The 15,222-nt window shown below is 39.1% G+C and overlaps 1 protein-coding gene across 9 annotated transcripts in view; it reads right to left on the bottom strand.

The window, feature by feature from the left end:
- ANLN (anillin, actin binding protein) overlaps nucleotides 1-15,222 on the bottom strand; it is a 63,930-nt gene that overhangs the window by 46,218 nt on the left and 2,490 nt on the right. For all 9 annotated transcript variants that reach the window (XM_006715746.3, NM_018685.5, XM_017012354.3 and 6 more), the window contains exons 2-4: nucleotides 11,155-11,308; nucleotides 8,181-8,495; nucleotides 1,008-1,393 (exon numbers count right to left, since the gene is read on the bottom strand). In XM_006715746.3, the coding sequence (XP_006715809.1) occupies nucleotides 1,008-1,393; nucleotides 8,181-8,495; nucleotides 11,155-11,308 (855 nt within the window). The remainder of the gene's footprint in view (nucleotides 1-1,007; nucleotides 1,394-8,180; nucleotides 8,496-11,154; nucleotides 11,309-15,222) is intronic.

The following is a 15,222-nucleotide window of genomic DNA, read 5'->3' as shown; positions in this document are numbered from 1 at the left end:
GGGAAAAAAAACCAACTTAAAAAATGCTATGATTTAAATCATAATATGTGGGTTAGTCTGCATAATATACTCATGGGTAATGAAGTATTAGCAGTATGATCACTCTTTATTTAAAAAAAAAGTTTTATTCATATTATTGCACTAGTACCTTTATCAAATTTTTAACTATATTAGACCAAATTACATTTTAATTAAGTCAATAAAAATTTAACAAAATAGTATCATGTACTTCATAGTTAATAGATTAACTACTTATACATAGCCAGGTACTATGCTAAGTGCTTTATGACTCTTATTTAGCCCTCCAAATAACCTTTTTTTCCTATTTTACACATAGAAAAATAAAGCCCTGCAATATTAAGCACCTTGTCCAAAGCCAAACTTCTAATTATGTAGTACAGCTGGGATTCAATGCAGGTCTAATTCTAAAGCCTAGCTCTACACTAAAAGACAATGGTCAGAAACACGAAATTATTTTTCCTTTTTATTTAAGATTGTTTTTTGAAAACTGTTGAGGTAACACATGCACAAAGTAAAAGTTTCAAACATTTCAAAAGGATATACAGTGAAAGTATCACACCCTGTTTGGCAATTTGCCTTCCTGGAGGCAACTATAGCTACTATTTTGTTATATATCTTTTCAGAAATATTTGATAAATTTATATAAATTTCTCATATATATATTTAAAGCATTATAACAGAGGACTTAATTTTCAGTGCTCTCCTTAATGACTAAGAAGAGGCTCTATCATTCCATTATAGACTCTGGATTTGCATCAAATTAGTATAACTTCAGCTGTCAACTGCTAATTGATCTTGGGATGGGTACCCAACTTAACGATTTTCACTTTCTAAGAAACCGATATCTTACAAATACATATAAACTCACTATGCATCTATTATAAAACATATATCCACCCATCCACCTGCACATACACACAGATGTATTATACCACTCATAACGAAAAAAGAAAAGGCTTCCAAAGACCAAAATGATACTGACTTACCACAGAGCTGGAAATTGAGGCATTAACCAAAGACGCATCATCAGCACTTGAGGATAGGGCTTTATTCAAAGAGGCATCGCCATCCCTTTGGGAACAGAATGTAGCTTCCTGCTTAACACTGCTGCTATTGATCCTAGCAGATGCTCCACTTGCAGAGGAAAATTTGGATAAACAAGCGGTACCAGGCTGTTCTTGTACACTGTTTTGTTTTGCAAATGAGTGATTTACATCATCTTCCCAGGAGCAAATAGTTGCAGCAAGATTGGCCAGACGGCCCCTTCTGCCAACTGGAGTTGCCGAGGCATTTGAAAGCAGAGGTCTGGGAGGGGAAGCAGCCTTTTCCTCTGATGGCATTGGTGAGAAGAGTGAGCTTTCAGGAATGTCATCTGAAAATGTTTTCAGAAAAGAGTTAAAAACCATGTTTAAGAGTAATGCTTACGTATAATACCAGGATCACTCTATGCTGAATTTTTAAATGAGATTAATAGGTTTAAGAACCAGTGAAAAGTTCTAGCATGCATGAAACTTCCAAGTTATTTAAATTTGACAATATCTTTTTAAATCAAATGATATTAAATCCGAAATTAAAAAAAAACTATTAGATCTATTTTTTCCATTTTTCAATGGATCATGAATAAGATAGGTTATATTTTTAGAATGAATTAATGGTGGTATATATAACATTGCACAATTTAAGATTATGTATCTCACAGAAACTTTTTGTTTTAAAAATGGATTAGACCATTGCTGTACAACAGAATGTTTGATTGTTCAATACAGTAACCATTAGCCACTTGTGACTAATGAGCACTTGAAATGTGGCTAGAGCAGCTAATAAACTACATGTTATTTCATTTTAATTAACTTAAACATCCACATATGGCTAGTGTCTTCTGTATTGGATAGCATAGGGTTAGATCAAATCAAAAACAACCAAATGTTTTTCTGCATAGTTACTTCATTTGGAGAGAAATCCCAAATAGTGATATTTAACTGACGAAGATTCTAGGCCTTCCCTAGGGCATGTATATAGGGAAGCCAAGGTTCATAGCACTTCCTACTCCACAAATTCAATCAAGGAAAGAGGAATCCCTCCTGTCCAAAGCTTCTACTTCTGCTGAATTTTCAATTCTGCCCCTCCAAAACCTTCTCAGGGATCTTGCTCGAAATAAGCCCTCTCCTTCTCTACAAACTCTTGTCTGCACATAAGCACAGTCATGAGTTGTTTAACAATGGGGATACATTCTGAGAAATGCATCATGAGGTGATTTTGTTATGTGTACATCTGTATATCACAGAGCACACATCCACAAAAATGGTGTAGCCTACTATATAGTTAGGATATGTGGTAAAACCTGTTGCTCCTAGGCTAAAAACCTGTACAGCATGTTACTCTACTGAATATTGCAGGCAACTGTAACACAATGGTAAGCAAACATCTAAATATAGAAAAAGTACAGTAAAAATACATTATAATGAGACTACCATTGTATATGCAGTCCACCACTGATCAAAACGTCAATATGTGGTATATGACCATACAGTAGCCCACGCCCTATCTTCAGTTTCACTTTCCCAGTTTCCTTATCAGCAGTCAACTGTTGTCTAAAAATATTACATGGAAAATTCCAGAAATAAACAATTCATATATGGTTTTAAACTGCACACCGTTCTGAGTAGCATTATGAATCTTGCACCATCTGACCAGGATATGAATCTTTGTCCAGCATATCCACACTGTATATGCCACCCGCCCCATAATCACTTTATAGCCGTCTTGGTTATCAGATCGACTACTGGAGTATGCAGTGCTTGTGTTCAAGTAGCCTTTATTTGCCCTAATGATGTCCCCAAAGCACAAGAGCAGTAGCAGTGGTGCTGGCAATTCAGATATGCCTAAGAGAAGCCATAAAGTGCTTTCTTGAAGTCAAAAGGTGAAAGTTCTCAACTAAATAAGGAAAGAAAATAATACGCTGAGGTTGCTAAGATCTATGGTAAAAATGAATCTTCTTCCATGAAATTGTGAGGAAGATAAAAGAAATTCATGGAGTTTTGCTGTCGTACCTCAAACTATGAAAGTTATGGCCACAGTGTGTGTAAGTGCTTAGTTAAGATGGAAAAGGCATTACATTTCCAGGTGGAAGATGCACAGAAAGATGGTGTGAATGATGGCAATTGGGTTCGGTACTGTCTGAGGTTTCAGACATCCACTGGTGGTCGTGGAACATATACCCAGCGGATAAGTGGGGAGACTACTGGATGCTCAAGTCTCTCTCACCTTAGAAATAAACATACTGGCAAGGTGCAAAGGGCCCGTGCCTGTAATCCCAGCACTTTGGGAGGCCGAGGCAGGCAGATCATTTGAGGTCAGGAGTTCGAGACCAGCCTAAGTGACATGGTGAAACCCTGTCTCTACTAAAATACAAAGATTAGCCGGGCACGGTGACGGGCGCCTGCAAACTCAGCTATTCGGGAGGCTGAGGCAGGGGAATAGCTTGAACCCAGGAGGCGGAGGTTGCAGTGAGCCGAGATCGTGCCACTGCACTCCAGCCTCGGTGACAGAGCAAGACTCCCTCTCATAAACAAACAAACAAACAAACATCCCGGCAAGGAGCGGTGGGCTCATGCCTGTAATCCCACCACTTTGGGAGGCCAAGGCGGGTGGATTGCTTGAGCTCAGGACTTCAAGACCAACCTGGGCAACACGGCAAAACCTACGAAAAATGCAACATCTACAAAAAATGCAAAACTTAGCTGGGCTTGGTGATGCGCCTATAGTCCCAGCTACTCGGGTCACTGAGGTGGGAGGATCGCTAGAGCCTGGGAGGTGGAGGAGGTTGCAGCGAGCTGAGAGCATTACCACTGCACTCCAGCCTGAGCAATGAGGCAAGGCCCTGTCTCAAAAAAAATAAACATCCCCTCATTGATATACATCCTCTTTAACTACCGCCCCTCTTTCCCTGCACAATATTCACGCACCACTTAACTCACTCAACTGACCTTCTGCCTATACCACTGCCCTGAAGTTGGTTTTGCCATTGTCACTAGATGCCAGTACACACTTTGCAGGCTTTGTATTTCTTGACATCTCTAAAATATATCACTCCCTTTCTATTTGTGACATCATTCTCTACTATCCTTCCTGGCTTATCCTTCACAGTCTTGCAACTACCAAATACCTCCATTTGGCTCTCCCACAGATATCCCAAATAACATATGTGAAGTTGAAATTGCCCCGAACATATTCCTCCTCATCTTAGGAAAAGACATCACTAACTACCCAGTCACTGAGGCCAGGAATCTGACCTCTTCCTCCCTTCTCCCTCCACCATCCAGTCGTTAGGTCTTAGAGTTTGTCTCCTGTATCTCTCAAATCCAGCTTCTCCTCTTCATTTCCACAGGCCTTCACTCTTTGCACCTAGATTATATTATATTATATTATATTTTTTGAGAAAGAGTTTCGCTCTTGTTGCCCAGGCTGGAATGTAATGGCGCGATCTCGGCTCACTGCAACCTCCGCCTCCCGGGTTCAAGACATTCTCCTGCCTCAGCCTCCCAAGTAGCTGGGATTACAGGCATGCACCACAGAGTATAGTTACAAGAGCTAGAGGTCTTATTAAGCCCATTCCTAAAATATGACAATAAAACTGTCATCTGCTGATAGGACAGTGTTTATTCTAGGGAAAATAACAGAAGTATATAAAGGGTATTGCAGGTAAAGTGGTGGTCAGGGAGGCTTTTCTGGAGGAGGGAGAGACTCCTTAAGCTGGACTCTGAAGGACAACTGGCTTCAGAGAATGGAGATAATCTAGTCAGAAAAACAAAAATGTATAGAAAGCAGAGGTAAGTAACATGAGCAGAGTGTGTGTATAAGTAGATCCTATTCTGGTGTTTAAAGCAAGCAGTAGAAAAGCAAGAGTTACATTTTTTTTCCATTCTGAATGTGTCAAAATAGAGAGATACGTTTGAAAAAGAGCAGGTCCAGATTGGAATTTAATCAGGAGGTGATGGGGAGGTCCTGGGAGAGTTTAAAGCAGAAGCAGGCAAGTGTTTTAGAAAAATCGCGCTGGTGTGAAAATTGAGGAGGGACTGGACAGGGCAGAGGTCTGAAGCAGGAAGACCAGTTAGAAGGCTAGTATTATAACCTAGGTGCAGGCAGGACACGGTGGCTCACACCTGTAATCCCAGTATTTTGGGAGGCCGAGGCGGGTGGATCACCTGAGGTCAGGAGTTTGAGACCAGCCTGGCCAACATGGTGAAATCTTGTCTCTACTAAAAATACAAAAAATTAGCTGGGTGTGGTGGCGTGTGCCTGTAATCCCTGCTACTCAGGAGGCTGAGGCAGGAGAATTGCTTGAACCTGGAAGGCAGAAGTTGCAGTGGGCCAAGATTGTGCCACTGCACTCCAGCCTGGGAAACACAGCAAGACTCCACCTCAAAAAAAAAAAAAAAAATAGCTTTATTGAAGAGGCAATGTTACAGCTCTGTTGATTCCCTGTGCAGAGCAGGGCTACTCCATAGGCAGAGAGTAGCAGTTCAGGGCAGTTTTACAATCATATTTATACCTACTCTTAATTGCATGCACATTAAGGGGCAGCTTATGTAGAAATATCTAGGGAAGGGATAGTAACTTTTGGGTCATTGCCATGGAAAGGGGTGGTAACTCCTGGGTGTTGCCATGGCAATGATGAATTGACATGGCACACTGGTGGGCATGTCACTGGAAAGCTGCTTCCCCCAGGCCCTGTTTTAGCTAGTCCTCAATTTTTTTTTAATTTATTTGTTTGTTGTTGTTGTTATTTCTCTATCTTGTCCAGTGTCCAAGTCCCGCATCTGGAGTCGAGTCCTACCTCTTACCTCACCACTGCTAAAATAAATAGGTATTAATTGACACCATAGACTATGCTATGTGCCAAAAAACATCAGGTGGCCTGCCGAGGTGGCTCACGTCTATAATCCCAGCACTTTGGGAGGCCGCGGCAGGCGGATCACCTGAGGTCAGGAGTTCAAGACCAGCTTGGACAACATGGTGAAACCTCATCTCTACTAAAAATACAAAAATTAGCTGGGTGTGATGGCATGTGCCTGTAATCCCAGCCACTCGGGAGGCTGAGGCAGGAGAACTGCTTGAACCTGGGAGGCGGAGGTTGCAGTGAGCCGAGATTGCGCCACTGCACTCCAGCCTGGGCAGCACAGTGAGACTCTGTCTCAAAAAAACAAAAACAAAAAAATCATCAGGCAGGTCACAGGAGTTAAGAGCTCTAAAGTCAAACCATTGGGATTTGAATTTGAGCTGGCTAACTGTGGACAGGTTTATTAGCCTCTATGAACCCAGTTTCCTTCTTCTATAAAATGAAGATAAAAGTGGTATATATCTCAAGATTATAAGAATTAAACGCTATTAGAATAAAAAAATTTATATTAGAATAAAAAATATTTGCAATACCTAGCATTTTACATACTGTTTGCTCTTGAGATTATTATCATCACTTCCAGAAAACATAATCTTAAACTCTCTGCTGCCTAATTCTTATCAACATTTCAGTTAAAAGAACTGATATGTATGGAAGACTGCCTGAAATATATGTAGTCCATCTGGTTTAATCCAGTCTAAAATATCTGTCAACCATCCAAGCCCCATTCTTCAGATCACTTGATCTCAATTCTGGCTATGCATCAGAATTACCTAAAGAGCTTTAAAAAAAATAAGACAAAAGCACATCTTTGAGCTCCACCACATTTCTGAAATTCTAATCCTATGGTCTATGTGATTCTGATACAATCAGCCAGGCTGAGAACCACCTAAGGAATGCTTCCTTGGGTGAGGCCCAGTAGCCACTGAGCTGTCTGCAAGCACCGTGGGGTCTACCTGCACTATGCTAGCTCACTTTAGAAATGCTTCTACTGCTGGATGCGGTGGCTCATTACTGTAATCCTAACACTTGGGAGGCCAAGGCGGGTGATCACTTGAGGTCAGGAGTTCGAGACCAGCCTGGCCAACATGGTGCAACTCCATCTCTACCAAAAGATACAAAAAAAATTAGCTGGGCATGGTGGCACACACCTGTCATCCCAGCTACTTGGGAGGCTGAGGCATGAGAATCGCTTGAACCTGAGAGGCGGAAGTCGCAATGAGCCAAGACTGTGCTGCTGCACTCCAGACTGGGTAACAGAGTGAGACTCTGTCTCAAAAAAAAAGAAAAGAAAAAAGAAATGCTTTTACTGAGCTTGGAGCCAGGACATCTGCCTGCCTTAAGAAACCTTATAGGTTTATCGGCTCCCACAAAGTCATATTTAAGGACACATGAAAGAAAGTTCTCTCAGCTCTTACTGCCAAATTGCAAGTCTTAGTGCCAAAGATGGTTCTGCTTTTAGCTTGTTAGTCATGTAACTGATAACTGTTTCATGTCTTCGCATAGGCCTCTAGCAAAAGGAAGACTTTACAGTCTGCATTTAATAAAATGACTTTACTTTTCACTTCTTTGTTTTCCCTTCCCGTATTTTCTCTTCACCTTGACTTCATTTTTCTGGTTTCAAAATACAGATATTTTTATAAGTCATCTCAAAGCTTTTTTTTTTTGTAACAAGGCAGGCGATAAGTGAAATTGATCATACCATAAATAACCCTGTTGCATAACTGTTGCTTTACTTCTCAGGTTCCCCTTCCGATTATAGGCTCATGAAAGGTAAGGATCAAGCCACTTCATTCATTTCTAGCACTGTGTGTAATAATATACTTTGCAGCTGCTCAATTTATGTTTTTTGACATTTTATTTCTCCCCTACTGAACAGCATTGCATACCTTAGTCCCTCAAGTTTATTTAATTTTTGAATCCATGAAATAGGATTTCTTTAACATGGAGCTGAGGGTCAGCAATGCTAACAACACGTATAGTTTGTTCTCAAGTGTTTTTCATTGCAGATATTAAGGTAATACAGTTATAAGATCAGGTTTCTATGAACTAGTCCAAGAACCACATCGTGATCTACTTCAGTCTAAACATAACCAACTTATACTACTGGTAGACAAACCATATGCAAGCAAAGGATACTCAACATATAGATAAAACAAAAGCATTTATTTTTCATGAGTTAACTGATAAAATGTTCAACATACCAAACTGAATCTTATTGGAACAGATGTATGGGCCATACCATCTATACAATTCATACCTGTCATATCATCATTATCCCAACGGCGCCGTTGCTCTGCAAGTTTTTGCATACGTGTTTTAACTGAGGAGGCTGCAGTTGCTTCCAATCTTGAGTTCAGCCCTCTCCTCATGCCCAGCAGTGATGCCGGGACAGCAACAGAATCACTGATGGTATCTGCTGCTTGTGGCTGCACCTGAGGAGACACAGGACTTGGAGAACAAGATTTTGCAGATGTCGACTCAACTGGTTGTTTATTTTCCAAGTTAGAAACTTCTACTTCAGTGTTGTCAGAACAGCGTTTTTTTGATGGCGATGGTTTTGTACAAGATTTCTCTACATTAAAAACGATGAAAAAAGACATTCAAATTTGTAATTTCTCACATGAAAAACTTGAGGGTAGATACTCAACAAATTAATAAAACATCACCCCTCCCTATTCTTTTAAATGATTTTAGTTACAACCAGAAGTATGTAAAACCCCATTCTCTTTCAGCAACTTAGAAATCTGATATGAAAGATCTTTTCAAGCAGACACAATTTATATTATAAAAACCTTAATGAAAAGATATTTAGAGCTAAGCTGTGGGGATGGAAAGGCATAAGAAGGATGCAATGGACTCTGGGGACTTGGGGGGAAGAGCGGAAGGGGGGCGAGGGATAAAAGACTACAAATATGGTGCAGTGTATACTGCTCGGGTGATGTGTGCACCAAAATCTCACAAATCACCACTGAAGAACTTACTCATGTAACCAAATACCACCTCTACCCCAATAACTTATGGAAAAATAAAAATAAAGATATTTAAATCATATTTTCAAAATATATGCATAACACTTTATATAGTGTTAAGACAATAGTAAATAAAAAGTGCATACACACAGAATAAGAAAGCATTCTAACAGATTTTAAGGATTATACAGCCTAATCACCTCATCTTCAGATAAGAAAAATCAAGCCTAGAGAAATTCAGTTGCCCGCCTAAAGTCACACAGCTGAGCCAAGTGTAGAAACCAGGTTTTCTGTTTTTGAAACATTCTTTCATGGAAAATAACTAATAAGCATGGTTAGAAGGGCAATTGGCTTGAGGTTTAGGATTACGACAGGAGACAGAAAAAGTGACTGAATTATCTGGTCAATACCAAACAAATTCACCAGTACAAATATTTAACATTTCATATTTCAAGCTTCTATGAACACCTATAAAATAACTGAAAAAGCCCTAAAATTAAAAAAAAAAAATCTATCAGAACCATAAGGCATATTATTTCTAACTATGAGTTTCAATATATCTCCTGGAAAATTAATATTTTCAAAGAAGGTACATTTCATATGAGGTCAGTTTCATCAACTGCCTAAACAAATGTTCTGGCAGTGACCAAAGTAGTATCAGGGATAAATCATGATTGCCTCGTTGACATCAACCTAAGTAAATATACATCATGAAACTTTCTAATCTATTTTTTCCCCACTCCACTTTTATGTCTCTTTTTTTCTTTTTTTGAGATAGGGCCTCACTCTGTCACCCAGGATGGAATGCAGTGGTGCAATCTCAGCTCACTGTAGCCTCAACTTCCTGGGCTCAAGCGATCCTCCCACCTCAGCCTCCTGTGTAGCTGGCACTACAGATGTGCCACCATGCCCAGCTAATTTTTGTATTTTTTGTAGAGACAGGGTTTTGCTATGTTGCCCAAGGTGGTCTCCAACTTCTGAGCTCAAGCAATCTGCCCACCTCAGTCTCTCAAAGTGTTGGGATTACAGGCGTGAGCCACTACACTTGGCTCTTTTTTCTTTTCTTTTCCTTTTTTTATTTTTGAAACTTTCTAATGTTTTATAACTCACTTATCGATCTATTTTCTATGAACACATCTAATAATTTTTGAAAGTGTTCCTGCTTTAACATGCAATACCATCTGGAAATACAGAATTCTTCTAGTTTACAATTATCTAAAACAGTAAATGTGAACTTCTACCTAAACATCGAAATGTAGTTTTGAACTTCTACCTAAAGAAGTTTAGGTAACACTGGTTTCAAATACATAGCACTCAATAGTACAAACCCATCTCACAGTGAAAACGAAGATCCTGGACTAGGGTCAGGCCCCTATTTTCCTGGCTGAATACCATATAATATGTAATGTATTTCCTTCACTCTCCCTTCAAAATGGATAAACGTATGAAAACTAATTCTTGTTCTATGATTAGCTTCCAAAATAACTGAGCTAGCCCCATGTACACTTCTCTGCTTTCTTTTTTTTTAAAAAAACATTGGTTTTGCCCTCTGTAATTTTTTCTATATTTTATTTTACAGTTGTATTACAGTATTTTACAGTCGTACTAAGGAAGATTATTATCTCCAGACTATTCTACACTCCAGGAAAAGACTAAGGAGGCTGTCTGATGCTGGCTGGGAATCAATCCTAGGATTGAGGAAAGAGTAAGACTACAGGTGAGTTTTTGTTTGTGTGTATGTGTGTGTGTGCTTGTGTTTAATTCCACCACTTCTGGAGATTAACAACCTAAACTTTAGAGAGTTGGTTCAGCAAATAGAGAGTGAAAAGGGTTCATTAAATGTCAAGCATGGGCAGTGTGCCTTCCATTGCCTTGCTGGTACCGGAGACACCACCCAAACTCAGTGGCCAGCTGTTCTGCCACCCCTGGGATAAAAAAACTACACACTACTGTAAGTATAAATGTTACCCTACTCCTTTATTTTTCTTCCCTTGAGGTTTTAAGGATAACTTCAGAATGAAGAAAATAAAGTTCAATCAATTAATTTAAAATATTTTTTAGAAGAAACCGTTCCAACCCTATAGGTTCTAGGCCTAATATAATAACTCTGAAATAGAATAGAAGGCTGTTATTTCCCCCAGAGGCTGTTACATTTGTCTCCCAAAGAGCTTGGTTCTTCTATATGCTAATGAAATGTTTGGGGCTTGTCTCCTTCAAAAGAAAAAAAAAGTAAATGTTATTTTTCCCCACAAAGTCTTTTACCTTCACCACCAGAGAGGGGCTGCTGGTTACTTGCTTCTGAAAGTGGCTGTCTAGCTCGCTTAGCATGAGTCATAGACCTTGGAGCTGCTGTGGGCCTCTCAGCCATTTTTCTCTGAAGATTCTCTCGCCTGGCACGGGTTCGCTCCAGCAGTTTCTACATAAATAAATATATCAGTGTTAAAACACAAGTTTAATCAAAGGTTCATAAAATTGCAGTATCTTCTAAAATCACCAATTGCCATACAGGATGACAGTTAAACACATTTCAAAAGTGAAATCCTAAGCAATTATGTCAAGATTCACTAAATGAGTACCCCAATGTCATAACTATTACAGGAATATTACAGAAGGAATAAAATATGTAAAGTTAGTTATATAAGATTTTTAACGGCCACAAATTTTTTCTGCTTTCATCAAAAGACAGAATCTATTTCTTCACCCTTGAATCTGGGCTGGCCTTGTGATCTGCTTTGACCAATAAAATATGGTACAAGTGATATTGTGAGACTTTTAGGCATCAAGAGATTTTACAGTTTGGGGTCTCTCTCTCTCTCTGCCACTAAGTGAACATGCCCAGGTTAAGTCTACTAGAGGAGACACATGGCCCAGGTGATGGTCAGTATCAACTACCAAACATATGAATAAGGCCACCTTAGACCATCCAGCTCCAGATAATCTGCCAGATCACTGAAGATTCCTGCATGACCACTGCAGAGACAAGCAGAAGAACAGCCCGGCTGAGCACAATACAAATTGTTGACCCACTGAATCATGAGAAATAAGAGTATTGTTTTAAGCCACTATGGTAGGCAAAATAATGGTCCCTCAAAGATTTTTTGTCCTAATACCCTAAACCTCTGAATATGTTGCCTTACAGAGCAAAAGAGACTTTACTGATGTGATTAAGAATCTTTAGATGGAGATAATCCTGAATTATCTGGTCAGGCCCAACATAATCACAAAGGTCCTTATGATGGAAAACACAGAGGCAGGAAGATCAGAGTCAGGGAAAATATGACCATGGAAGCAGAGGTCAGAGTAATGTGATTTTTGGCTTTGAAGATGGGGGAACAGGACAAGCCAAGAAATACAGATGGCCTTTAGAAACAAGAAAAGTTAGGAAACAGATTCTCCCCTACAGCCTCCAGAAGAAACACAATTCCACTGACATGTTGATTTTAACACAGTAAAATCCATTTCAGATTTCAGAGTGAGACCCTGTCTCTAAAGAACTGTAAAATAATGAATATGTTATTTTAGGCCACTAAATTTGTGATAACTTGTTACAGCAGCAAAACTAATAGAGCCACTAAAATCTGGGGTGGTGGTAAGCAGCAAGAGATAAATAACATATTAGTCCTTTGAAAACATAAAACACTTCCTAAGAGGAAAGAAAAACAAAATAATCTTATGTTTTATTTAACTAAATATTAACATATAATAAAATGGTTTTAAATTGAAATCTTAGCCATTCCATAAAGTCATGAATACTCCTTTCTACTCCAAATCAACTGATGTTCCTATTTTTAAGTCAATTTTAGTAAAGCTCAAACACAAGACCCTGTAAAACAATTCATTTTCTTTCAAATGCACACAACTAAAGGAGGTATGCAGATTATTATTACTGCCTTGCATACTCAGATACAGTAGTTAGTGCAGGCTGAAAAATTAAATTCCATTTGACTCTTTTTAATTCCTTAAAATACAGTAACAATTTTTTAAAAATCTGAGTATGTAAAAGAAATATGAGCTAAATTTGAAAGAAGGCACACTCTCTACTCTTCTTAAGAATGATTTCTAATTTAAAGTTCATTGAAAAAAGTGACACTAAATTGAAATGCTCTAATCACTGAAAAAATAATTTATGAACCAAATGGCTTCCAAAATACAAGACCTTCACCCGCTAAATAAAAGTCCTTCAACAAATTCAAGAATAAGCATATTGTTTCACAAATCCATATATGTCCGATAATTTCCCCCCATGATACAATATGAGAACTAAAAATAAAATACTAATCCTCCCAACCAACTGAACAGATCCCCTCTTGATGAAGGGGACCCCAGAGAAACCTTAAAAACCGAGTTCTCAGCCATGATGGAACAGGAGGCCGCATGCACCTTGTTATACCCCTCCTTTTGCTGTTTAAACACAATAACTGATGAGCATTAATGTTAAATAGAGATCATAAGACTGACAGAAGACTCTTTGTAGCAATAAGATATCAAATTATAAACAGGATCAAGCCTAGGCAACAAAGCAAGATCCTGTCTCTGCAAAACATACAAAAGTTAGCCAGGCATGGTGGGGCACATCTGTAGTCCCAGCTACCTGGGGGGTGGGGTGGCTGAAGCAAAAGGATTACTTCAGCCCAGGAGTTCAAGGCTGCAGTGAGCTGTGATCGCTACTGCACTCCAGCCTGGGTAACAGAGTGAGACCCTGTCTGTAAACAAATAACTAGGACCTAAGGCCATGCCAGGCAAGGGTTAAGTCACAAACTCCCTACACTTAAAAAATAAACTATCTTCTAACTGCCAAAGTTTTTCTTTTACTCTAGTAGCTGAACAAGCACTGACCTTGAGATAAGCAATAAATATTAAAACAATTGCAGCTCATCTTCCATCAGACACTGACTAACCCTCCTGCTCCACAAGCTACAGCTACAGCTTTAATTGGACAAGAGATTGATTTCAATAAATCTATCTCAGTAAGAAGACCACCAACCATGAACTGATTCTGGCCAGTTTACAGAGGCTGCTCACTTGAATGCCTTCATGTCCCCACCTCACCTTTTGACATATAGGGCCCAACTGTAATGTATTTCCACGTTAAGTCTTCATCCCAAAGTGAACATGGGATGCATGTAACTGCACGTTTGTTCAGTACCCACCCATCAGGACCCCTTTGTAAATACTCATAGCTCTGCCTATAACCTGTTGAATATGTATACCTGGCTAACCCTTTAGGCATAAATCCCTGTTCCAGCTTCTCCTCTCTTGAAGTGCCTGTTTCCAGTCTCTGCCCGAAGCTATTAAATATGTTTCCCAGCCTGTCAGGATGGCCACACTGTAGGCTGTAAGCCTTTATAAGAAAGTCTCTGCTGGGCACAGTGGCTCATGCTTGTAATTCCAGCACTTTGGGAGGCCAAGGCAGGCGGATCACTTGAGGCTAGGAATTTGAGACCAGCTTGGCAAACACGGTGAAACCCCATCTCTACTAAAAATACAAAAATTAGCCAGTTATGGTGGTGCATGCCTGTAGTCCCAGCTACTTGGGAGGCTGAGGCAGGTGAATCACTTGAACCTGGGAGGCAGAAGTGACACCGAGCCAAGATCGCACCATTGAGCTCCAGTCTGGGCGAGAACGAGACTCTGACTCAAAAAAAAAAACGAAAAAAGAAAAAAGAAATAATGTCTCCTTTCTAAATTAATAAATTTGTAATTTTTCAATTGCTATATCTCTCACTTCCCAGATACAACACTAGCCTAATTATATTCATTCGTGGACATGCCCACATTCCATTCTGGTCAGTTAGAACATTTGTGAGTCAGTACAGCTTCAGTTACCATGAGCAGTAGGTCACAACAAAAGAATGTGATTTTGTCATTCAAACGTATATGAATGTTCTATTGCTTACATTAGATTCAAAAATTCCCAGATTAAAAAAAAATTAAATAGATACACAAAAAAAGATCCCTAATCTGTGAAGTAAAGCTATAAACACCAAAGGTTATTAAATTAAAAGAAATTATATATCTTAAATATATAAACTCAATAGCTCAATAAATGTAAGTAGCCGTTCCTTATAATAGTATATCAGGAATTTTAAAACTCTTTTAAATACAAGGTATATTCCTTGAAATATCACACCTTTCTCAAACAGTGTAGGCATTAAAAAAAAAAAAAAACCACTGCAATAACATATTCAAGAAGTAGGATAGCCCACATGTATGAATCTCAGGTAACTGAAGCTTATAGTCCCTGAACAACTTTTGCCACATACACCCCAAAGTCATCTCTGACAAATTTTTCTAGGAGATTTTACTAATTTCCTTGCCTTCTTTAACACA

Source organism: Homo sapiens, chromosome 7 (assembly GCF_000001405.40).
Source record: "Homo sapiens chromosome 7, GRCh38.p14 Primary Assembly".
Classification (NCBI taxonomy): domain Eukaryota; kingdom Metazoa; phylum Chordata; class Mammalia; order Primates; family Hominidae; genus Homo; species Homo sapiens.
This window is presented reverse-complemented; position numbering and strand designations above follow the sequence as displayed.